This window comes from Homo sapiens, chromosome 8 (genome assembly GCF_000001405.40).
Source record: "Homo sapiens chromosome 8, GRCh38.p14 Primary Assembly".
NCBI lineage: Eukaryota > Metazoa > Chordata > Mammalia > Primates > Hominidae > Homo > Homo sapiens.
The window spans coordinates 51544260-51571715 of NC_000008.11; the positions used below are offsets into that span (position 1 = coordinate 51544260).

At 35.4% G+C, this 27456-nt stretch overlaps 1 protein-coding gene across 8 annotated transcripts in view; it reads right to left on the reverse strand.

Moving 5' to 3' along the window:
- The window catches only part of PXDNL (peroxidasin like), a 489869-nt gene that overhangs the window by 224683 nt on the left and 237730 nt on the right, over nt 1-27456 (reverse strand). For 7 of the 8 annotated variants that reach the window (XR_007060701.1, XM_047421364.1, XM_047421366.1 and 4 more), the window contains one exon: nt 12581-12652. The exons of the other annotated variant lie outside the window; for it this stretch is intronic. Coding sequence is in view for 4 of the 7 variants with exons in the window: in XM_047421364.1 (XP_047277320.1) it covers nt 12581-12652 (72 nt within the window). In the remaining 3 variants the exon portion in view is untranslated. Of the gene's footprint in view, nt 1-12580; nt 12653-27456 lie in introns of those variants that run through there. 8 annotated transcript variants of the gene reach the window in all.

Here is a 27456-nt window from a genome sequence, read left to right on the forward strand (position 1 = left end):
TGCAGGTATGAACACAGAAGCTCCAGCAGATGGTGCAGGTAGGTGGGGAGGGGTGAGGCCTGATAATAAATTATCATCCATTTTCTTTCATAAAAATTCGATGATTATAATTCTTACAAGATGATTACTCCTCCCTATGCTATCTTCTGCACTGACACAATCAATATAACATCAGGTTATTCTTCGGAACTATCTAGCCCTCACTGATGCTTAAAGTAACATTTTTGTTTATTCTATGACATTGTTGTGTTTACCAAATTTCTCCTGATGTAGCCAACACATAGAAAATAACCTAATGCAACATAAAGAGAACATTTATACTTGAAGCAAATGTAGTTTGGCAAATTTTCAATCAGCAAACAATCAAGAAAAGAATAAGGCTAACAAATCCTTCTTCAATATCCCTTCCTCACCCCCCACAACCTACTTTTTAGGGTCAAAGGCTATGTCATGAAGCCAACAGGAAAATCAAAAAGTGTATTTTTATACTCATTGTGAATATTTATATCTGTAGCAGGATTGGCATTTCTATACTGTGCTACTGTCAAGACCTCTGAAAAGATCTATTATTTATCTCTGCCTTCCTCAAAAATAAATTTAATTTAAAATGGATGATGTACAATAAGAAACATTAAAATAAAGGCAGTATAAAAACAAACATCTCCGGCACCTTAAGATCTATCATTGTTTTGCCAAGATATACTGAAATAAAATTGAATTTCAGAGTTTATGATTAAAATTATGATAAATTTTAAGGATTATAGATTACATGTTTGGAAACCAAAAATTCTCTCTGAATAGTGATTCACAACAGCATGGAATCAGTTTTAAAATAGAAAGAAAAAATGTCTGTTTTCTTGGCTTTAAATACTAAGATTACTCAATATTAGTAAGACTAGTAATTATTATCAGAATATAAAACACTTACTGCTGAGAATTATGTGCATTTTAAATAGGAATTAGAACTTTTTCATATGCTAATTTTTATAAGCCATCTGTAAATACGTTTGATGAAAAACATCACAGTGATAAGGGCTTTCCATTTTGTCTTTATTTAAAAATGTATACTTGATTGGTTAATGTGATGATTCAGCAATATAGTAAAAATTACCCAAAGCATTACACAATTTAAAATTATTTTTTAAAAAGACGAAGGCACACATTTTATCACAGTGATAGTTTAGTAGTCATTGTCTTAGTTTGTTTTGTACTGCTCTTAAAAAAAATATCACAGACTGGGTAATTTATAATGAATAGAAACATATTGGCTCATGGCTCTGAAGGCTGGGAAGTCCAAGATTGACAGGCCAATCATCCCCTCAATCCCATGTCATCCCATGGCAGAAAGGCATCCCATGGCCTTATGTCATCCCATGGCAGAAGGGCAAAGAGAGGGTGAGAGAGAGCCAAAAGGGAAAAAAGCACATCCTTTCATAAGGAACCCAATCCCAAGATGTGGAACTCACCCCCACAGTAATGGCATTAATCTATTCATGAGGGCACGGTCTTCTTGGTCTAATCACCTCTTAAAAGTCCAACCTCTTAATATTTCTACAAGGCAATTAAATTTCAATCTGATATTCAGAGGAAACAAACATTCAAACTTAGTCTGTCTTACATACAAAATATGTTATTTTCATCTCTATAGCCTCAAAATCTTAACTCATTCCAGCATCAACTGAAAAGTCTAAAGTCTCATTTAAATCAGACATGGGTGGGTAGGGAGGATGATGGACAGAAGACAGGACTAACATGCAGCTCCCATTTGGACAGACAGAACAGCATCTGAAGACTTACATTGTGAACTCTTGCTTCAATAACCACTATAGGAACATATGAGGAAAACCAAAAGAATTCACAGACCCTTTATAGCAGCTGCTTGCTGCTACAAGTGCTGTGAGACAGCCAGAAAACTGTGAGTTCCTAAATTGTTAGAGGGGGAAAATTCAGCCTCTGAACATGCATTCCCACTGGGGAACCTAAAAATCCAGATCACAAGGGAAGGATTTAACCTTACCTATACCTGAAATGGATTTAAGGAGCTGAGTCTATAGCCATACCACCCTGAAAGTGCCTGATCTTGTTTGATCTCAAAAGCTAAGCAAGATCCAGCCTGGTTAGTACTTGGATGGGATTTAGGGAGCTGAGTGAAATATAAAAGTAGATAAAGCAGCAGAAAGAGCCCTGTAGGCACTCCTGGTCACCAGCTTGAGTCCAGGGAAGCCATTCCTAGCCTTACCTCACAGAGGTCCTTGGGGAAGGGAAGGCAGCTAGCAGAATTGGGGAGGGGCCACAGGGTAAAGGAAGCTCCTAGTTGAACTTGGTAATAATTGCAACTGAGCATGAACTTTCCTGAACAAAATCTGGGGTGGAGGGTGAACATGAAGTGCAGAAATGAGCACAGAAGCTCCAGCGGATGGTGCAGGCAGGCAGGGAGGGGCGAGGCCTGAGACCCCTACTTGCTTTCTCAGTCAGGAAGCTTGTAGCCTGGGGCAAGATCTCAGCCCTGCACAGAGGCTGCATGGATATAAACTCAGTGCAGATGGGCGGGGCACAGCAGGAGTGAGACTGGCCTTGCTGACTCCATGGGAACAGGGTAAGGCCTGTCACTGCTGGCTTCCCCCAGTTCTCTGAAAACCTGAATGAAGCAGCAGAGGCATTCATAATCCCCCTTGGAACATAACTCCATTGGCCAAAGAACCACCCGCTCAATCCCTCACAGTGCCCGCAGCAAGCCCCACCAAAGAAGAGTCTGAGCTCGGTACTGCCCAATCCTGCCCCCACCTGATGGTTTTCTCTACCTGCCCTTATAGCCAAAGGCAAAAGACATAAACTTTTGGGAGCTCTATGGCCCTGCCCATCACCTCAGAAACCTGAGTACCTATCCTGACCAATGTAGGGCAAACCCATATCCCCCTCCTATTGCCACAGCTGGTACTCTCTAGAAAGTACCACCTCCTGGCTGGAGGCCACCAACTCAAGCTATTATTTCAACTCATAACAGAACAACCCTGCTCCAAAGAAGGAGCAAACAACAGCAAATTTCACCAGCTGCAACACCCTGGCTAACCACAGATCCTGACTCTGGCCATGTGACAGCTTCACCACTAGCATAATCAGCATTCAAGAAAACCAGCACACTAAATAAAACTCCAACAATGGACTCCAACAGAGTCCACTTCACTTCCCCACAACCTCCACCAGAGCAGATACTGGTATCCATGGCTGGGAGACCTAAAGACAGATCACATCACAAGACTCTTTGCAGACATTCTCCAGCACCAGCCTACAGCCCAGTAGCCCTACTGGGTGGCTAGACCCAGAAGGGCAATAATGGTTACCGAAGTCTGGCTCTCAGAAAACCCTATCCCTAGGGAAAAGGGGAGAAAACCACATCAAGGGATCACCCCATGGGACAAGAGAATCTGAACAGCAGCCCTTGAGTCCCAGATCTTTCCACTGAAACAGTCTACCCAAATGAGAAGGAACCAGAAAAGTAATTCTGAAAGTATGACAAAACACCGTTCTACAACATCCCCAAAAGCTCACACTAGCTCTCTAGCAATGGATCCAAACAAAGAAGAAATCTCTGAATTGCCAGATAAAGAATTCAGAAAGTTGATTATTAAGCTACTCAGGGAAGCATCAGAGAAAGGTGAAGAAGATATTTTTTAAAAATACAGAATATGAATGAAAAAGTCTGCAGAGAAATAGATAGCATAAAGAAAACACAATCACAACTTCTAGAAATGAAAGACACACTTAGAGAATACAAATACACTGGAAAGTTTTGAACAATAAAATCATACAAGTAGAAGAAACAACTTCAGAATTCAAAAAAAAAAAAAAAGAAGGCTTTTGATTAACCCAACCTGACAAAGACAAAGAAAAAAGAATTTTAAAAATGAACAAAGCCTCCCAGAAATTTTGGATTATGTTAAACAACCAAACATTAGAATAATTGGTGTTCCTGAAGAAGAGAAATCTAAAACTTTTGAAAACTTATTTGAGGGAATAATCAAGGAAATCTTCCCTGAACTTTCTAGAGGTCTAGACATCCAAATACAAGAGGCTCAAAGAATACTCAGGAAATTTAACACAAAAAGATCATCACCTAGCCACATAGTTATCATGTTATCTAAATTCAAGATGAAGGGAAAAATCTTAAGAGTTGTGAGGCAAAAGTACCAGGTAGTCTATAAAGGAAAACTTATCAGATTAGCAGCAGATTTTTCAGCAGAAACCTTACAAGCCAGGATTGAGGTTCTATCTTTAGCCTCCTTAAACAAAATAATTGTTAGTCAAGAATTATGTATCCAGCAAAACTAAGCTTCATAAATGAAGGAGAGATAAAGTATAATTCAGACAAACAAATGCTGAGAGAATTCACCTCTATCAACCCAGCACTACAAAAAAATGCTAACTCTTGAAACAAACCCTCAAAGTACACCAAAATAGAACCTCTGTAAAGCACAAATCTCATAGGACCTATAAAACATAACACAGTGGAAAAAAAACAAGGTATTCAGGCAATAACTAGCACAATAAATAGGACAGTACTTCACATCTCAATACTAGCATTGAATGTAAATGGCCTAAAGGATCCATTTAAAAGATATGGAATGGCAGAATGCACAAAAATCCAACAGCCAAGTCTTGCTGTCTTCAAGAGATCCACCTAACACATAAGGACTCACATAAACTTAAGGCAAAGGGATGGGAAAAGGGATTTCATGCAAATGGAAACCAAAAGCAAGCAGGAATAGCTATTCTTACATCAGACAAAACACACTATAAAGCAATAACAGTTTAAAAAGACAAAAAGAGACATTATATAATGCTAAAAGGATTAGCCCAATAGAAAAATATCACAATTTTAAATACATATGCACATAACACTGGAGCTCCAAAATTTATAAAACAATTATTACTAGACCTAAGAAATGAGATAGATGGCAACACAATCATAATGGGGACTTCAGTACTCCACTGACAGCACTGGACCAGTCACCAAGACGGAAAGTCCACAAAGAAGCAATGGACTTAAACTATACCCTAGGAAAAATGGACTTAACAGATATTTACAGAGCATTCTACGCAATAACTGAAGAACATATATATTTTTTTCATCAGAACATGGAACATTCTCCAAGATAGAACATTATGACAGGCCACAAAACAAGTCTCAAGAAATTTAAGAAAACTGAAATTATATCAAGTATTCTCTCAGATCACAGGTGAATAAAATTGGAAATTCACTCTAAAAGGAACTCTCAAAAATATACAAATACATGGAAATTTAAAAATCTGCCCCTGAATGATCTTTGGGTCAAAATTAAATCAAGATGGAAATTGAAAAATTGTTCAAACTGAATGATGATAGTGACACAACTTATCAAAACCTCTGGGATAGAGAAAAAGCAGTTCTAAGAGGAAAGTTCATAGCATTAAATGCATAAATCAAAAAATCTAAAAGAGCACAAACAGACAATCTAGGCTCACATCTCAAGGAACTAGAGAAACAAAAACAAGCCAAACCCAAAACCAGCAGAAGAAAAGAAATAACAATGATCAGAGCAGAACTAAATGAAATGGAAACAAACAATACAATACAAAAGACACAAAAACAAAAAGCTGGTTCTTTGAAAAGATAAACAAAATCAATAGACCATTAGTGAGATTAACCAAGAAAAGAAGGGAGAAGATCCAAATAAGCTCAATCAGAAATGAAATGGGTGATATTAAAACCAATACCACAGAAATACAAAATATCACTTGAGGCTACTATGAGCACATTCGTGTGCATAGACTAGAAAACCTAGAGGAGATGAATACATTCCTGGAAATATACAAACCTCCTAGATTAAACCTGGAAGAAATAGAAACTCTGAACAGACCAATAACAAGTAGTGAGATTGAACCAGTAATAAAAATTGCCAACAACAACAACAAAAAGTCCAGGACCAGATGGATTCACAGCTGAATTCTATCAGACATCCAAATAAGAATTGGTTCCAATCCTACTGAAACTATTCCAAAAGATAAAGAAAGAGGGAATCCTCCGTAAATCAGTCTATGAAGCCACTACCATAATACCAAAACGAGGAGATGATGTAACAAAAAAAGAAAACTACAGACCAATGTCCCTGATGAAAATGATGCAAAAATCCTCAACAAAAACCTAGCTAACCAAATCCAACAGCATATCAAAAAGATAATATACAATGATCAAGTGGGTTTCATACCATGGATGTAGGGTTGGTTTAACATACACTAGTCAATAAATGTGATACACCACATAAACAGAATTAAAACAAAAAATCGTATTATTATCTCAGTAGATGTAGGAAAAGCATTTGACAAAACTCAGCATCCTTTATGATTAAAACCCTCAGTGAAATTTGCATAGAAGGGAAATACCCTAAGGTAATAAAAGCCATCTATGACAAATCCACAGCCAACATTATACTGAAAGCACTACCCCTGAGAACTGGAACAAGACAAGGAGGCTCACTTTCACCACTTTTATTCAGCATAGTACTGGAAGTCCTAGCCAGAGCAATCAGACAAGAGAAAGAAAGAAAGGGCATCCTAATCAGTAAAGAGGAGTCAAACTGTCGTTGTTCACCAATGATATGATTGTACCAGAAAACCCTAAAGGCTCATCCAAAGAGCTCTTAGATCTGATAAATGAATTCAGTAAACTTTCAAAATACAAAATCAATGTACAGAAATCAGTAGCACTGCTATACACCAACAGTGACCAAGCTGAAAACCAAATCAAGAACTCAGCCCCTTTTACAACAGCTGAAAAACAACAAACAAACAAACAAACAAAAACCTTACGAATATACCTAACCAAAGAGGTAAAAGATCTCTAAAACAGAAACTAAAAAATGCTGCTGAAAGAAATCATAGATGACACAAACAAATGGAAACACATTCTATGTTCACAGATGGGTAGAATCAGTATTATGAAAATGACCATACTGCCAAAAGCAATCTATAAATTCAATACAATTTCCACCAAAATATCACTATAATCCTTCATAGAACTATGAAAAACAATCCTAAAATTCATATGGAACCAAAAAAGAGCCCACAAAAGCAAGACTAAGCAAAAAGAACAAATCTGGAGGCATCACATTATCTGACTATAAACTATACTACAAGGCTATAAATACCAAAACGGCATGGTACTACTGGTATAAAAACAGGCAAGTAGAACAATGGAATGAAATAGAGAACTCAGAAATAAAGCCAAATACTTACAGCCAACTGATCTTTGGCAAAGCAAATAAAAACATAAAGTGGGGAAAGGAGACCCTATTTAACAAATGGTGTTGGGATAATTGGAAAGCCACATGCAGAAGAATCAAACTGGATCCTTTTCTCATCTAATACAAAAATCAACTCAAGAAGGGTCAAAGATGTAAATCTAAGACCTGAAACCATAAAAATTCTAGAAGATAACATTGTAAAAACTCTTCTAGACATTGGCCTAGGCAAAGACTTCATGACCAAGAACCCAAAAGCAAATGCAACAAAAACAAAGATAAATAGATGGGACTTAATTAAACTAAAAAGCCTCTGCCCTGCAAAAGAAGCAATCAGCAAAGTAAAAGACAGCCCACAGAGTGGGAGAAAATATTTGCAAACTATGCAGCTGACAAAGGACTAACATCCAGAATCTATAAGGGAACTAAAACAAATCAGTCAGAAAAATGCAAGTAATCCCATCAAAAAGTGTGCTAAGGACATGAATAGACAATGCTGAAAAGAAGGTATACAAATGGCCAACAAATATATGAAAAAATGCTCAACATCACTCATTATCAGGAAAATGCAAATCAAAACCACAATGCGATACTACCTTACTCCTGCAAGAACGGCCATAATGTAATTAAAAAACCAAAAAATATCAGATGTTGGTGTGGATGTGGTTAAAAAGGAACACTTTTACAATGCTGGTGGGGCAACCACTAATACAACCACTATGGAAAACAGTATGGAGATTCTTAAAGAACTAAAAGTAGAACTACCATTTGATCCAGCAATCCCACTACTGGGTATCTACCCACAGAAAAAGAAGTTATTATATAAAACAGACACATGCACAACTATGTTTATAGCAGCACAATTTGCAATTGCAAAAATATGGAACCAGCTTGAATGCCCATCAACCAACAAGTGGAAAACGAAAATGTGGTATATATATATACCATGAAATACTACTCAGCCATAAAAATGAATGAAATAATGGCACTTGCAGCAACCTGGATGGAACTGGAGACCATTATTCTAAGTGCAGTAACTCAGAAATGGAAAGCCAAATATCGTAGGTTCTCATAAGTGCGAACTAAGCTATGAGGATGCAAAGGCATTAGAATTATATAAGGGACTCCAGGTATTCGGAGTAAGGATGGAAGCGGGGGTGAGGGATCAAAGACTACACATTGGGTGCAGTGTACACTGCTCAGGTGTTGGGTGCACCAAAATCTCAAAAATTACCACTAAAGAATTTATTCATGTAACCAAACGCCATGTGTTCCCCCCAAAACTATTGAAATAATTAATAGTAACAATAATAAAAGATAGACAAAAAATTAAATAAATCAGATATGGGTGAGACTCAAGGCATGATTCATCCTGAGGCAAATTTCCCCACAGCTGTGAGCCTGTGAAATCAAAACCAGTTATGTGCTTCCAAAATGCAATGTGGGACATACATAGAATAGACATTCCAATTACAAAAGGGAAAAACAGGAAAGAAAAAAGGAGCAACTGTTCCCAAGTAAGTCCACAATCCAACAGGGTGAATAACATTAAATCCTAAGGCTCTCGAATTATCTTCCTTGACTCTGTGTCCTGCCTCCTGGACAAGGTGGGGTAGGGGTTGGGCCCCCAAGGCCTCAAGCAGCCCAAGCCCTATGGCTCAGCACACCCAAAGCTCTCGTGGGTTGAAGTCTTGTGCTGCAAGCTCTCCCAGGCTGACATTGCACACTGGCAGCTCAATAGTTCTGGGATCTTGGTGGCAGTCCCACTCCCATTACTCCACTAGGCATTGTACTCGTATGGACTGTCTGCAATGGCTTTGCTCCTGTGAAAAGGCACTGCCTGGGGCCTCAGGCTGTCCAAAACATCCTTTGAAATCTAGGTGGAGACCATTTTTGACCCCATAGCCCACTCATTCTGTGCATCTGCAGAATTAATACCAAACTACGGACTCTGTAAGTAAGTGTATAAAATATGCTTTTTAAAGATGTTCTTCATCAGTTAGTTCAATGCCTTGCTGTGAGAAGTTTATATATGCGCATTGAAAACATGAAATGAGTGTGTTACTTCAAAGATGCATTGTGAGCTCCTTTATTACAGTGAATTGAACCGCTTCCCAAACAATGAACTCTATCAACAAATGTACAAATACACATTTAAAAGATGTTCCTTATCATTTAGTTTATTGCCTTATTGTGAGGGATTTTATATATATATATATATATATATATATATATACACACACTGAAAATATAAATCTCGGCATGTTACTTCAAAGATGCATTGTGAAGCACTTTATTAAAATGAATTGAACTGTTTAACACAGTGAACTTTTTAACCACATGTTTAAGACATGCTCTTTAAAGATGTCCCTTGCCCTTGTGTTCTAAGCCATAATGTGAGGAGTTTATACATCCACATTTAAAAGATGAATCGAAGTATGTTACTTCAAAGATGTATTGTGAGCTGACTTATTACAGTGAATTGGACTATTTACCATTCTGTGAATTCTGTAAACAAGCATATAAAATGTTTTTAAAGATGTTCTTTACCAATAAGTTTAAAGACTTATCGTGTGAGGTTTACAAATACATACTAAAACATAAATCTGCTGCCAAGGCTTACCACTTGCATTCCTCAAATTAGGGGCACAATCCACACCTAAGCCCACTTGAGTGACAGCTGAGATGACCAAGGAGCACTGTTTGGGAATTTGGGGGGCAGAGACTTAAGGTGGTGCAGGGTAGTGAATGCTGATTTTTTTTCAGGCATGCTGAGCTGCTCTCTTGAGGCTGCCTCAAAGATCTCTGAAATGAATTGGGTGTCATTCTCCCATTGTCTTGATGAATGGCACCTGGCTTATTTTATCTATGCTAATCCCTTTATCAAAGGATCAATTGGCTGCACCCTTGCACTTTTTTTGTTCTTTACTTGGCCAGGCTGTGAATTTTCTAAATCTTTATGTTACACTTCCCTTTTAATTATAAAGGTCATCTTTAAATCATTCATCTCTTCCTACATTTTACTCTAGGCATTTAATAGAAGCTGTGCAGCTCCTTCAACGTTTTGCTTAGAAATTTATTCCACCAGATGTCCCAGTTCATTCTCTTAAATTCAGCCTTACATAAAGCCCTCTGGTGTGGACACAATTCAGCCAAGTTATTTGCCACGTTAGAAAATAATGGCCTTTACTCCAGTTTCCATTACCTTGTTCCTCATTTCTGTCCAAGACCCCATCAGAATTGCCTTACTGTCCATATTTATACCAGCTTTCTGATCATAGCTACTTAAGCAACCTCTAAGAAGTTTTACACTTTCCCTACAGCTCTCCTTTTCTTTTGAGCCCTCGCCAGAACTGCCCTTAATGATCTGTTCATGGCAATACAAGCTTTTTCTATCCTGGTTCTCCAGATTCTTCCCATTTGTGCCCATTATCCAGTTCCAAAGTCACTTCCAAATATTCAGGTGTTTGTCACAGTAACACCCTACTCTTTGATACCAATTCTCTTTCTGAGTCATTTTATGCTGCTATAACAGAGTACCACAGATGGAGTAATTCATAATGAACAGAAATTCGTTGGCTCACAATTCTAGAGGATGGGAATTCCAAGATTGAAGGGCCGGCATCCTTTAAGGGCCTTCCTGCAGTATAATCCCATGGCAAAAGGGCAAGTGAGGGCAAGAGAGAGAGAGCAAGAAGAAACCAAGTTTGTCCTTTTATAAGGAACCCACTCCCATGATAAAGAGCTTGCTCCCACAATAAGAAACTCACTTCCACAATAACAACATTAATCTATTCATTACCTTTCATGGTCTAATCACCCCTTAAAGTTCCCACTTCTTAATGCTGCTACAATGGCAATTAAATTTCAGCATGAGTTTCAAACCATAGCAGTCATGTAAAAGGAAATTAATAAGAGACAAAAGTAGAGCAAAGGCAATTTAAAAAAATTTTTTTGATTGGTTGACTGTGTTTTAATACTATAACCTAACAGTTCAGCCTTCTATGAAAAAGAAATTTAGATTTCTTCTAACCATATTTATTATAGAAATAAAATCATGTTTTGAAACTAAGAAACCACATTGAATATGGAAACAAATTTCAGGATCAAAAGCTTCTGATATACAGAAATCCTGCCAATACTTAAAAACAGTCTGCATTCTACATATCCGAGTTTCAGAACTATCCCATAGGTTGTCATCAATGGGAAAAATCTTTTTAATTATCTAATTAGTATTTGTGTTTCAAACACTTGTAATTGAGAGAAATCTATGAATAAAACATCAAATTGCAGTTTAGTAGCAGTATTAGTAAACAATATGACCTTTTGATATTGAAGAATTCATATTTCACACTGAAATTATGATGGTGAATCTGAGGTTTTCATAAAGTATCAAATGCTAAAAAGTACACTAAGATAGCGGTCAGTTTGAGTTGTAATAATAATGCTACAGGGCTAGGCATGGAGGCTCATGACTATAATCTCAGCACTTTGGGAATCTGAGGCGGGCAGATCTCTTGAGGCCAAAAGTTCAAGACCAGACTGGCCAATGTGGTGAAACCCTGTCTCTACTAAAAACATATAAATTAGCTGGGCATGATGGGGCATACCTGTAATCCCAGCTACTTGGGGGGCTGAGGCACAAGAATCACTTGAACCCAGGAGGCGAATGAGCTGTGATGGGACAACTGCACTCCAGTCTGGGCAACAGAGAGAGACTCTGCCTCAAAAATAATAATAATGATAATAATAATTATAATACAGACTCATAATTTGGGGCAAATCAGTTAACTAACATTGAAGTTAATTTTATTATCTGTAAAATGAGAGGTATAATCCCATGTTTTGGAAGTTCTAATGTCAGTTAAAAGCTTGAACTTGTTTCATAAATTATAGTCACAGCTATAAATTACCTTCTATAAAATGCCTATTTTAAGTCAAGTAATAAACATTTTTGCTTAATAAACATTATTGCTCTTTGCATGCAGTACCTTAACATGCACCACGGAAATATGTGCATTTCAGGATTTGGAAACAAAGGTTCACGGAGGGTAAGTTGCCCAATGTCACACAAGTAATAAATGCAGTGCTGGAATTCCAGCTGAGTTCTGTCTGTCTTCCTATCCTTATGCCAACTCAATCATACATTCTGATTTTTATCCAACTGATGACAGATATTCAATCATTCAAGCCACATGGAGAAGCTTAAAATAATTGTTCAACTATCACATAATGGCATTTAAAAAGCTGTCTATTTGAACTGTCACCATGAGTGATTTAATAAAAAAGTTTCTATTACTTACAGATGTTCCAAAGATATGAGTCCTTTAAATGTTTGCTTATCTAGTGCATGGATTTCATTCTTATACAGGTACCTGGAAAATATATAGAATGTCATTAAATTATAAATTAGTAGAGATACCACATGTCTTAGATACAAACTTTTTAAACTATAAGCTGTGGACCTTAGGAGCTTTGTGGGATGTCCATAGATTCTCTAACAATATATAGAAACTGTTATTTCACTTAAATGTGTTCAATTGGTAAGAGTTCTAAGCCTCTCATCAAATTCTCAAATGGATCCTTGGTTCAAAATATTAAGAAACATAGAGTATTTGTGGAGAAATTCTGACTAATGGAGTCATATATACTGAGTAACAACTTCTCTAAGAAAAATATGTTTGACTATAAACAATTTTTTAAAATTTATTTTATGACACTGAATATATTCAACTGGTAGTTATAAAACTGGCAAATACCACCATGGGATTCATCTTAAGGGGATAAAAGCATCTTAGAGATGCATAAGATGAATTTTGATCCTCCTGTGGCTGCTGTTGAAAATCTGCAGGGAAGAATACTATAAATGGATTTATAAATACGATGATACAACTAATCTTTACCAAAGGGTTTAAAGAAAACAATTTATGTGACATATGAGCACTTTCTCCATCGTTTTTCTTCAACCATAGGTTAGTAAGGTGATTTCTTCTCCACACTCTTTGTTAATGTCATGAAAATGAAGCCCTGGATCTTTTCTACTTGTGCCTCTCAGGGTTTGAGACAATCAGAATTCCTGAAACCTTCTATCAAGTGTCTTCGGAATGTGCTCTTGCATATTGTCAGTGCATCAGAATCACCTGGTGGTTTGTTAAACACACCAATTCTAAAGTTCACCCACAAACCTACTCAATCGGACTCTCTCAGGATATTTTCTAGATAATTCAGTTGCAGCTCATCTGCAGTCCTGCCTTAAAGGCCATCAAAATCACAGTTCTGCCTAAAAATAAAGAAGGGACTGATTTTCTATAATTTGCTTAGTTAAGCTTTTAAAGTTCCAAACCAGTTTCTTTTCCCCCAGTTTAGGACTCCAGTCAGTTTCTAAAAGTAGCAGTGACCAGTGTGGATTTACATCTAACTAGATATTGTTTTTCCTCAGCATTAATTGATACTTCAGAAGATTTTGCTTTTACTCCAAATCTCAAAAATATAGCTATGTGTTAGAATTCAAGAAATACAATATTCTAGAACCATGTTTCTTCAAACAGTTTATAAGAAGCATTGAGAAGTCGTCTCAAAACTCACTAGTGGTTCTCAAGTGTGGATGTATGCAAATCATAGTGTAGGTACGTGAGTCAGTAGTATTTGTAAGGCCTCATTTTGAGTTCTACCCAAGCCTTATAGTAATGTCTGGGTCCCTGCCTCCACAAACTCTAATTTAATGATGGGTCCAGGGTACAGACTAGACATTGAGATTCTTCATAGCTCCACAGGAGATAATAATATGCAGCAAGGTTGAAAGCTACTGTTACTAGGTACAGAACAGGTGAAAGTATTCTGTAAATGTACCCCACTGGATTCAGAACTACCTCCTGGTAAAGGCCCTTAGACTATTAGAATGTTGAGAGCCACATGACTTCAAGGGTGTCATGTCTTGAGCATAAAGAAGTTGACTTCTACTGAGAGGCATACAAACACTATACTTGGTTTTTATTATTATCGTCAATTTTAAATAATGAGGAGTTGTTTCATAAAGATAAAATGAAATCATAAAATATTCATGAAGGAGTTTCAAAACTTAAAACTAAAGGTTTCCCATAATATTTTATCTCAGATACACAGATTCACTTTAGACTGTTATATTGTAGAAAATGGTTCAGGAAAAATAAGCACAAAGTAGGGGGAAAAGAGCAGAACTTCTGCAATCAGATCTGCACAAATTGATTAAATCAGTAAAGTATGAATTCCAGATATGTTACTACCTATATTCAAGTTATAGGACCAACAGGTTTGTATGCTCGCTGAAGAGTAACAGACCAATACACTGAGATAGCAGAGTTTGCAGCAGAGAAAGAGTTTAATTATCAACGGGCAGCCAAATAAAGAGACAGAAAGGACCCTCAAATTCTTCCCCCCAATGAGTTCTGGGCTGGGGTTTTTAATGGATTAGTAGAGGGAAAGAGGTTAGAAAATTGGGGTTGTTGATTGGCTGGAATAAGGGGGATATTATTTGGATGTGGAAACCGCATTCTTTGGTGAGTCAGCTCCTCATGAGGTCCTTCAGACCTTATTGGTGTGCAGGACCTAAAAGGATATCTCAAATGGAAAACTTAACATTTTATAATTCTCAAGTTGTTATCTACAGAGCAGTTAAGGAGAACTATAATCTTCATGGGTCTATGTGATTTTAGGACAATAGGCACAAAACAGCTATGAGGAAGGGGTCAGAGAGCAGCTGATCTCATGATGAATGCTGATGTGCTGAAAGTTTGGCTTATTTTTGTTTCTTCCAAACCCCCCCCCCCCCCGCCACCTTCTTTCCTGATTAATTTTATGAAGTTTATAGGGACAGTTTCATTAACACCAGTCACACAGCTTCCCGTTTCCCATAGGATAATGGTATTCAGCTAAATTCAAATCTCTCCACACACCTCTGAAAACCACACAGTTCAACGAAAGAAGAAAAACACATCACCCAGAGCACAATCTACCACAAAACCAGAGAAAGAGAGCATTAGCAACTTCAGTTTACATGTAAGTGGTGAAAACACTAAAGCATCTCTAGAGTCCACCCTCAGCAGAGTCAAGTGGGAATCCCCACTTTTTACAGATGAAGGGACTCTGGCAGAAGGGGTAGAACAACAAAGGGTGAGAGTACCATCCTGATGAGAACTTAAGATTGAGGAAATTAGAACCCTGGCTCCTAAGGAATTGAAAGAAAGGGCTTGGAAAATGAGTGGGAGAAAGCACCTTGCTAGCATGGGGTAACTTGTGGAGAATTGGTATTAACAGGAAAGAAGAAAGCAAGAAGTCAAAGTAAAATAAATTAGGACCAGGATTTTAAAAATCAAGATTATTGTGTACCAAGATAATCACTGTAAGGAAAATTACCTGTAAATACTAAAGGAAAATTAAGAAAAACAAATCTGATACTAAATTTGATAGAAATACAAAACCTAGAAATAGAAATTTTGATCAAAATCTAAATAAAAAATCAAAAAGATATTTCTCAACTATTTCATTTACAATAGCTTATAAATAATAAGCTACCTAGGAATAAACTTAACCAAGCGGGTTAAAGACTTCTACACTGAAAGATACAAAACATTACTGTAAGAAATTAAAGAGAATGTGAATGAATTGAAAGATTTCCCATACTCATGGCCTTAAAGATTTAATATCGTTAAAATGTCAATACTACTCAAAGTGATCTAAAAATTTAATACAATCCCTATCAGCATTTCAATGGCATTTTTTTTTGCAGAAATAGGGAATCTCATCCTAAAATCTATGTGACATTTCAAGAGGCCCTGAACAGTTAAAACAATCTTGAGAAAGAATAACATAGTTGAAGATTTTACACTTTCTGATTTCAAAACTTATAACAAATGTATAGTAATCAAAACAGCATGGTACTGGCATAGAAACAGATATACAGACCAGTAGGAAGTCCACAAATAAGCCCTTGCATATATGGTCAAATGATTATTTACAAGAGTACCAAGAATACACAATGAGGAAAGGAAAATCTGTTCAATAAATAGTGTTGGGAAAACTAGCTCTCCACATGGAAAAGAATAAAACTGGAACCTTGTACCATATACAAAAATTAACTCAAAATGAAGCGAAGACCTAAAACTGTTAGAAGGAAACATACAGAGAAAGCTCCATGACCTTGGGTTTGGCAAATATTTCTTAAATGTGACACCAAAAGCAAAGGCAACAAAAGTAAAAATAGGTAAACTGGACTACACCAAGATTTAAAAGTTTGGTATGTCAAAGAATACAGTCAGCAGAGTGAAAAGGCAACCTGCAGAATGGACGAAAATATTTGCAAATCATATATCTGATAAGGAGTTAATATCCAGAATATACAAAGGCCTTCTACAACTCAACAACAACCAAAAAAAAAAACCATTTAAAAATGGGTAAAGGACTTTAATAGACAGTTCATCAAAGAAAATATACAAGTGACCAACAAGAATTCACTAATCATTAGTGAAATGCAAATCAAAACCACAATGAGCTATCACCTCACATGTTAGGATAGCTACTTTCAAAAAGACAAAATAAGCATTTGTGAGGATGTGGAGAAATAAGAATCCTGTACACTGTTGGTAGGAATGTAAATTGGTACAGCCACTATGAAAAACTGTATGGAGAGTCCTTAAAAATTAAAAATTCAATTACCATCTAGCAATTCCTAGGCAAATATACTTCTGGGCATATATCTGAAAGAATTGAAAGTAGAGATATCTGCACACACATGTTCCACACCAGCACTACTCACATAGCCAAGAGGTGGATTCAACCCAAGTGTCCATTGGAGAGTGAATAGAAAAACAAAATGTGGTATATACATACAATGGTATATTATTCAGCCTTAGCATTTCAGGAAGCCAAGGCAGGAGGATCACTTGAGCCCAGAAGTTCAAGACCAGTCTGGAAAGATGAGATAGCAAGATCTTATCTCTACTAAAAAAATTTTGAATTAATTTTTTTTTAAAAAAACGAAGGAAATTCTGACACATGCTACAAAATGGATTAACATTGAGGACATTAAACTAAGTAAAGTAAACCGGTCACAAGAAGACAAATACTATGTGATTCCTCTTGTATGAGGAAGATAGAGTAGTAAACTCGTGGTGACAGAAAGTAGAATAGTGGTTGCCAGGGGCTACAGAGAGATGGAAATGGAGAGTTATTTAATGGGTATAGAGTTTCAGTTTTGCAAGATTAAAAGGTTCTGGAGATTGATTACACCACAATGTGAATATATTGAATAATACCAAATCATTTAGAAATGTTTAAGATGGTACATTTTATGTTTTGTATTTTTTACCACAATTACACTTTTTAAAAAATGTTAAACCGACATAAAATCATCTAAATTATATAAAATAACTGTGTCTACATAAAAATTAAAACTACATCCAAAACATTGACAGTGATAACAGGCCTGGGGTTTTGCACAAATTTATTTTCTTCATTGTTCTTTTTCATATTTCAATATTTTCTAAGATGATTATATATTGATATATTGCTTTTTCATATTTATTTCATATTTATTTTTATTATATGAGTAAGAAATTATATCCCTTTATAAAATATATAATTTTAAAGAAATAAATCAAACTCATCTACATGTTCTTCACCCTGGATAATAACATTACTTTTAAAATGTGTCATTTTATATTTTGTGCTATCTTTTTTTATAAAAATGATATTTAGTGTATAAAATATTATGTTACTTTTTATCTTAACAACTGGAAGACATTAACCAACTTATTTTATCCCTCCATGCTTCATTAAATTTATTTAGATAACTAAAGATTCTTTCCCTAATTCCAAAAAATATTATGTGAAATTTATAGCCCCAATAATAACTTATACGAATGAAATCACAGAACTCAAACATCATTTATTTCCTTTTAAGTCTCACATAGCTATTATATAGGTTTGACACTAAAATTTTGGGGAAATGCTTGCTGAACTAATGTATTAAGTTTTTCACTCCACCCTCTCAGTGTAGATAAAACTTATTGGGCTTTTGGACCAAGGAGTGTTATAGAGGGGAGCAATGAAAAGCCTAAACCCTCCCCATCAAACACAGAATTAGTTCCAAGGGAAAAGTAATAAAAATCAAAATAGTTGGTAGGTGTGAGAATAGAGTCTGTACCCTCATTTCCTGATGGTTGCTCTGGAAGATGACAGACATCACAGATAGGTTTCTAACCTACCATGGGACCATAGAGGTGCTGAGATGGCTGTAAGATGTATCAAGGCATAAAACTAACCTGACAAATCACTGAGCTCTTCAATGGGGTGGGGAAGAGACAAAGGTTTTTGCAGGCTTTATAGTGGGTGGATGTGACACCAAGAGTCATGGACTTGCGAGGGAGTTGCAGTTGTAATGGAGCTGTCACAGGAGAGGTTGGTTTGCTCTTGCAACCCTGTGACAAGAAAGAAATAGAGTAGCCCCAGATGTCATGACTGTGCTCAAGGACTACCTAGACTTGTGTTTCACCTCACAGAATGAGAATGATCACAGACTAGAGAGCAAGCATAATACCTCCATGAAAACAACCAAGAGGTCTCATGAAGCCATATGGAGCCTGGGCAGCCATCTTAGCCCAGGCTTCCATAACAAAAGTACATAGACTGGATGGCTTGAACAATAGCAATTTATATGCTAACAGTTCTAGAGGCTGCAAAGTCCAAGATCAAGGTCTGGCACTGTTTGGTTTCTGAAGTCTCTCTTCCTGGCTCGCAGATAGCCACTTTGTCACTGTGCCCTTACATGGCACAGAGAGAGCGAGAGCAAGCCCCCATGTCTCTTCCTCTTTCAAGGACACTACTCCCATACAGGGGCTCCACACTCATGACCTCACCTAAACCCAATTACCTGCTGAAGGCTCCACCTCCAAATACCATCACACTGGGTCTTAGGGCTTCAAGATAGGAGTCTTGGGAGGATACAAACATTCAATCCATAACAGTATTTTAGATTGAATAGAGAGAAAAGAATGAGTAACAGAGATTCTGAATGGACTCTATTTACCCCAAATGGTAAATTTACCCAAATTGGGCCAAGATGTTTTCTGCCATTATGTGGAATGAGGTCCAAAATAATAACTGGCTTACAAAAAAATTATTTTTTGCACTACTCAATACATAGACTGATAAATTCACAGTTGATACACACCCCATTGTAAACATATTTCCATGTGAAGAACTACACAGTAAGTTGCAAAAGTTGCACACCTCAGTCTCTGTGTGGTATCATGCTCTGCTCAATATATTTAAAAGACAGTACAGAGCAATGTAACTTTCTATTATCTATAAAAATTCCATGCAGATTTTCAAGTAATAATATATGTGAAAATAAAAATGCAAAATAACTTAAAATGTGAAATAAATCTAGTTGTTAATTCAAAGTTGGAAAGTCATTTCTATATACACAAAATCTAAAAGTCATGAAAAAATGTTTGACTACATGAAATGTCAAGGAAATTGAAATCTTGTTTTCTAAAAGATCCTACATTTAATTACCTCCCAGTATAAAAGGACACTTGCTATTCAGATTTTATTTTCAATTACTATTTTTCACTAGAAGAAATTCAACTCTTTGAAGACGCAGCTGCTTCAAGTTCTGGGGCAACAAAAGTATATGACACAATGTTTGACAAAAAGCACTCAAAGTCTAACGGGATTATGTCAAAAGGACAAAAGAGTTAGCTGGAAGAGTCTTCCACTGGCCAAATTTGGGACTATTTGTGGGTTAGAAAAAGGGATAATGGAACTGATTATAATACGTAGAATTTATTTTATTTCCAACTTTTATTTTCGGTTCTGAGGGTACTGTGCAGGTTTGTTACATACGTAAATTTCAGGTCACAGACGGTTGGTTCACAGATTATTTTGCCACCCAGATAATAAGCCTAGTGCTCATTAGGGAGTTTTTCCATGCTCACTCTCCTCCCAACCTCCACCCTCAAGTAGGCACACTGGTGCCTACTTGGACACATTTGTGTCCATATGTACTTAACATTTAGCATTTCATGAGTCCACCGAGATAAGGGAGAAGAAGAGAAAATGACAGAGACACAACATAATGGGGCATGGGAACAGATTCCTTCTTTTAAGAAGAATACCAGCTAGTACAGGGAGTCATGAAATTAGGAAATCATAATTTTGCAATACAATATAAAAGTATACTTATGCAAGGCTCATCAATGATGCCAAAACCATTGGTGAAATTTTGTATATGGGAAAGCAATTAACTTTGATACATTAACCTTGAATCTTATAAACCTTGTTATAATCACTTATTAGTTCTAAGAGATTTGTGTTGATTGTTTGGGATTTTATTGATAAGTAATCATGTAATTTGCAAACAAAGACAGTTTTACTTCTCCCTTCCCAATCTATTGTTTCCACATTTCATTAGCTAAGGCTTCCAGTACGATGGTGAATAGGGATGGAGAGAGGGGACATCCTGGCCTTGTTCCTGAGCCTAGTGGGAAAGCAATACAGGTTAAGCATCCCTAATCCAAAAATGTGAAATCTGAAATGCTCCAAAATCCAAAACTTTTTAAGTGCGGACATGATGCAAGGGTAAAATTCTATACCTGACTTCCTGTGGGAGGTCGTAGCTAAAACTCAGTCACACAACATACAGCTTATTCAGTGTCCCCAAAGGAAAAGGGCTCTCCTAGCCCCCTTCAGCTGCAATATATCTTTTCCTAAATAAATAAATAAATAAATAAATAAATAAATAAATAAATAGATAGATAGATAGATAGATAAATAAATAAATACAGTGCACAGTAACTTTTTAGTTGAAAAACCACACAATAGGTGGAGGCTGAAAGCCTGCCATTGTTTGTCATTGCTGTTGTTCAACAGCTGATGCAGGTATCTGGTGATGCCACTGCCCTGCTTAGGTACTCTGCACACTATATTTTTTCACTGTAATAATAATATGTCGTTTTTTACTATTAAGTACTTATGTGTGAATAAGTATAAAAAAAAGATTCCAAGTCAGGAATGAGAGTACTGTCAAATAACAACAGATTGTCTATATGGATGGCTGAGACAGTGACACCTTTGCTTTCTGATGGTTCAATGTACACATAATTTGTCTCATGCAAAAAATTATTAAAATATTTTATAAAATTACTATCAGTCTATGTGCATCAGGTGAATACATATAATGTATTGTGAAACATAAATGAATTTCATGTTTATATGAATTCCATCCCTAAGATATCTCATTATGTATATGCAAATACACCAAAATAAAAAAAAATCCATAATTCAAAGCATTTCTGGTCCCAAGCATTTCATATAAAGGATACTTAACCTGTAGTTTCTCACCATTAAGCATTATATTAGCCATAGGGGTTTTTTTTGGATCTTCTTTATTGAGTGAAGAGAGTACCCTCGCTTCCTAGTTTGCTCAGGTTTTATCACAAATGGGTGTTCAATGTTGCCAAACGCATTTTATGCATCTTCTGATATAATCATATCACTTTTCTTCCCTAACCTGTTGATATGATGGATTACATTATCTGATTTTCAAATGTTGAACCACCTTTGTATACCTGGGATAGTATAATTACTTTTATACAATGTTAGATTTGATTAGCTAATATTTTGTTGAGGATTCTTACATTTATATTTATGAGAGATATTGGTCTGTGGTTATTATTTCCTGTAATATATTTTTCTGGTTTTGGTATTAGGGTAATGTTGGCCTCAGATAATTAAAGTTAGGAAGTATTCCCTCTGTTTCTGTTTTTCTGGAACAAATTATAGATAATTAACGTCATTTTTTCTTTAAATGTTTGGTAGAATTCACCAGTAAAATCATCTGAATCTGGTGCTTTCTGTTTTAGAAGGTTATTAATTATTGATTCAATTTGTTTAATAAATATGGGCCTATTTAGATTATCTCTTTCTTCTTGTGTGGTTTGTTACATTGTGTCTTTCAAGAAATTAGTCCATTTTATCTAAGTTACCAAATTTATGGGCTTAAAATTGCTAATAATACCCTTTTATTATTCTTTTAACATCTATGGTTCACTAGAGATGGCCCAATTTTATGTGTGATATTAGTAATTTATGTTTATTCTTTTTTTTTTCTTCACTATCCAGGCTGGGAGTTTGTCAATTTTCACAATTTTTTCAAAGAACCAGTTTTCACTTTTGTCAAATTTCTGTATTGTTTCCCATTTTCACTTTTATTGATTTCTGCTCTATTTTGTAATTATCCATTTCTTCTGCTTGTTTAATTTTATATTGCTTTTTTTTCTCTTGTCTCCTATGATTGGAAGTCTAGATTATTGATTTTATATCTTTTTTCTTTTCTAATATATGCATTCAACACTATACCTCTAAGGACTGCTTTAACTGCATCCCGCGAAATCTGATGAGTTGTATTTTTACTTTTATTCAGTTCAAAATACTTTTAAATTTCCCTTGAGACTTCTTTGATCAGCATGTTACTTATAAATGTGTTTAATCTATAAATATTTTGTTATTTTCCAGCTATCTTTCAGTTATTAATTTCTAGTTTAATTCCATTGTGGTTTGAGAACATACTTTGTATGCTTTCTATTTTTTTAATTAGATGAGATGTGTTGTATGGCATATAATATGGTCCTTCTTGGTGAATGTTCTATGTGAGCTTGAGAAGACTGTGTATTTCTGTTGTCACTGGGTGGAGTATTTTACAAATTTCAATTAGACCCAGTTGAGTGATGGTGCTGTTCAGTTCAACTTACTAGTTTTCTGCCTGCTGGATCTGTCAATTGCTGATAGAGGCATGTTGAAGCCTTCAACTATCATAGTCGATTCCTCTATTTCTTCTTGCAGCTCTAACAGTTTTTGCCTCACATATTTTGCTGTTAGGTGCACATACATTAAGGATTGCTGTGTCATCTTGGAAAATGAATCACTTTATCATTACATAATACTCTCTTTATCCCTCAATACTTTTTGTTTTTGTCCTTAAGTCTGCTTTATCTGAAATTAATATAGCTATTCTAGTTTTCTTTTCATTTGTGTTAGCATGATGCAACTTTCTCCATCTCTTTATTTTTAATCTATCTATAATTGATTATACTATTTCATGGGTAGTGCTGGTACCTTGTAACAGAGTATAGTCATCCTTCAGTATCCATAAGGGATTGGTTTCAGGACCTCTCGAGGACACCAAAATCTGTAGATGCTCAAGTTCTGATATAAAACGATGCGACATTTACATATAACCTATGCACATCCTCCTATATACCCCAAATTATCTCTAAATTACTGATAATACCTAATACAATATAAAAACCTATGTAAATAGTTGTTGAACTGTTTAGAGAATAATATCAAGAAAAAAGTCCCTATATGTTCATACGGATGCAATTTTTTCCCAATATTTTCAATCTGTGATCAGCTGAATCCATGGATGTGAAACTCATAAATATGAAGGGCTGACTGTATTTCCAATTTCTTTTTTCTATCCCTTTTAACAATTATTCCTGTCATTCCACTTATCCATAAGCTACCAAATTTATTGTATTTATTTTTATTCTGAACAAATTTTTATCCGTTATATCAATAAATAATAAAAAATAAAAGATTATATTTTACCTTGATTTATTCCTTCTCTATTGCTCCACCTTCCTTTGTATAAGTCTGAGTTTCAGATCTACATCATTTCCCTTCTCTTTGAAGGATTTTTTAAACATTCATTGCAAGGCAGGTCTATTAGTAACAAATTTCCTCAATTCTTATTTGTCTAAGAAAGTCATTGTTTCCTCTTCAATTTGAAGGATTTTTATCAATACAGAAGTCTAAACTGGTGGTTTTTACTTTCAATGTTTTAAATATTTTACTTCATGCTCTTTTTGCTTACATGTTTTCTGAGAAGTCCAGTGTAATTTGTATCCTTTTTCCTATACAGGTAAGGTGTTTTTACCCCTGGCTTTCAAGATTTAATTCTTTGTCTGTTTTTCTGCAATGTGAATATGCTATGTCTAGGTGTAGATTCTTTGGTATTTATTCTGCTTTGTGTTCTCTGAGCTTTTGGGACCTGTGTTTCCCATCTGTCATTATTTTTGGAAAATTATCAGCCATTATTACTTCAAATGTTTTTTCTTCTCCTTTCACATTTTCTTCCGATCTGGTATTTCCATTACATGTATGTTACACCTTTTGTTATTATCCTGCCTTTCTTGAGTATTGTGTTTCATTTTTCCATCCTTTTTCTCTTTGTATTTCAGTTTACGAGGCCTCTATTAACATATCACCAAGGTCACTGATTCTTTCCTCAGCCATATCCAGTCGACTGGTGGGCCCATCAAAGTCATTCTTAATTTCTGCTACAGTGTTTTTATTTCTAGAATTTCCTTTTCATTCTTTCCTAGAGTTTCTGTTTCTCTGCTTAAATTACCCACCTATTCTTGCATGTTTTCCACTTTTCCCATTAGAGTCTTTGGCACATTAATATAGTTGTTTGAAATTCCTGAGTGAGCATTCCAAAATCTCTGCCGAATCTGAGTCTAGTTCTGATGCCAGCTTTCTCTCTTCTGGCTGCATGTTTTCTTGCTTTTTAACTTTCCTTATAATTTTTTTAAAAGGTGGAAATGACGTATCCTGTAACAGGAACTGAGGTAAATAATTTTTCAGTACTGAAAGGTGACTTGCAGCTTATTTTCATATGGTTCAGTAAAATGTATAATGCATACAAATATGTAATATGCGAATTTCTAATTAATTTCCATTCAATGGTGGTTTTACAGGTGTTTGCTTTCCTGCATGCTTGCACATTTTCAAAGTAAAATTTGGAGAGCAAATATGAACAGATTAGGGTGCTGATAACTAAAACACACGCTTTTTGTTCTTTCAAAAATGTTATGATGAACATACAGAGATAAACACACATGACAATTGTATGTCGCTCTAGGAAGGCAAATAAACATTTCCTTTATTTAAAAGCAACATAATTTAGTATTCAATATTATCCCTTCAAAAAGGATTAGGAATTTCTTCCAAGATGTGAAAATTCTATCTAAAAGTAACATTAACTTAAAATTTTTGGCACTACTGAATTATGAGATAGTTTTTATTATCATATTTACTCATCATATTTTTTTCAAATCATTCAAATATTTTAAACATTTTGAAAGGAAGATAATTCTATATAAGAAAAAACTGTAAATCTAAAATCAAATTAGTACTCCAGCAAAACTGACAGCTAATTTAATTCTGTAAAGCCATGTTTCTGACCAATAACACATCAGAGATACACGGGCATGAAAATCTTCTAAAGTGCCTTGCTTGAGACAGTTTTTCCAAAAAAGAGTTAAAATTTTTTCTCAGTAAATAATGCATTTAGATGTTTTACAGAAAATGGCACAATTTTCTGCAAGTGCTTTTGTTGCCCGGGATCACTGCGAAGCTGCAGAGCAGCTTTAGCAGCACCAACTTCCTCATTTCTTAGTTACAGTGTTTACACCCAGCCTCAGGCTGCAGTGACCGGCTCAGAGAAAGACATGAGCAGTGAGACACAAGTAGACATTTGCTGGGATTCTCATATATTAAAAAAGTTTAATCTCTTCCTCATGAGGCATCAGAAGAAATCCATCATTTTCCCTGGATGGGGCAGTATGAAGAGTCTGGCAGAGAAGTGTTGCTAACTGGAGGGGAAAACATGACGCTGTGGGTTCCACTAGGTAAAGCTAAGGATGAATTAAAGCTGGGAGAGGCCCACCCATCCGGAGAGATGCAGATGAACTAGGCTCTTGGCGAAATTGTTTGAGCCATTAGGTTCGTCTTAGTCAGCATTACTTCTAAGATATTTATATCTACCTGAGCAGTTTGTTTGTGTTTTTATTTGTTTGTTTTGGTCTATTGTCACCAAGAGAATCTAACCTGACATTATACTTTTTAAAAAGAAAGGAAAGGAAATAAAGGAGAAAAAAAGAAACTTTCATTTTTCTTTTATCATTGCCTCCTCATCCTTTTCGTCTATGAATTCTTCCTAATAATGGCTTCAGCAACATGAAAACCCACCAAATCTGAAGCATTTTTATTTTTAACAATACTACCATGGGAAGCTGTCCCCTGTCCTTTTATCCACTATTCATGTAGGTTTACTAACAATAGTGTATACTTATAATGTTACATTTTGCTCATTTGATAATTCCAGCATTCAAGCTAGAATTCATAAGGGTCAAAGAAGTAGATATAAACTGTATAAAATGGTAAATGAGAAATATACACAAAATTCTTACTCATAATTCAATACATTCAAAATTTATTATATATATTGTAACTAAAACAGATGATATATATGCAATAGTAGCTAAATAGGCAAAGTTTGTGCTGAAGTCATTTCTATTCTCACTATACTTGGGGGCAAACTGAAGTTTCTCCTATATCCTAAAACTATGTTCTGCATTATTTCAGAGTGTAATAATTCACTAATTTCCAAAGATCTTAAACAGTAATAGAAAAAGACAATTAAAAATTTTTCACCCCTTATATCAGTTCTTTTTTTTTGAAAAAAAAAATTGTCAGATAAGCCAATGACAGTAAAATTCTATCTATTAACATGTACAAACATTCTAAAAATATTTTCACTTGAGATTAGAGTGTGGTCTTCCAACAACAAATTTATGTTTGTTCTACAACAATCAAAGCTAAGAAGTTCAATCATCATTTTTGATTCGACATTTATTCATTTTGGAAATAAGGTATTAGATTATTGCCAGTGAGCTCCAAGAATACAGTCATCAGCTGAGAAACATCCTCACAGAATCCAGAAAAATATATTTACATAACAGATATGTATGGAAAATAAATAATTTGATAAGAATTTTATGTTGACATGTTTCATTAAATATTTACACATCAACCTATGTATTTACACTGATGATGTCATTTTGAGAGAGATTGTGCCCAACTGTAAAAATAAGGCTTAAGCTAAAATGATTTTTAAACTATAGAAAATGGATTATACATAATCTATAAGACTCCTTCTAAGGGCAAAGCTTCTGGAGTTTTGAACTAAAAAACACATTTTTAGAACATTCTTCTCAAATGATAATTTAAACTTTGCTTTAAAATCTCAAGGCTGTTAACCAAAAGCATGTTAAGCTCAATATCATAGGACAGAAAT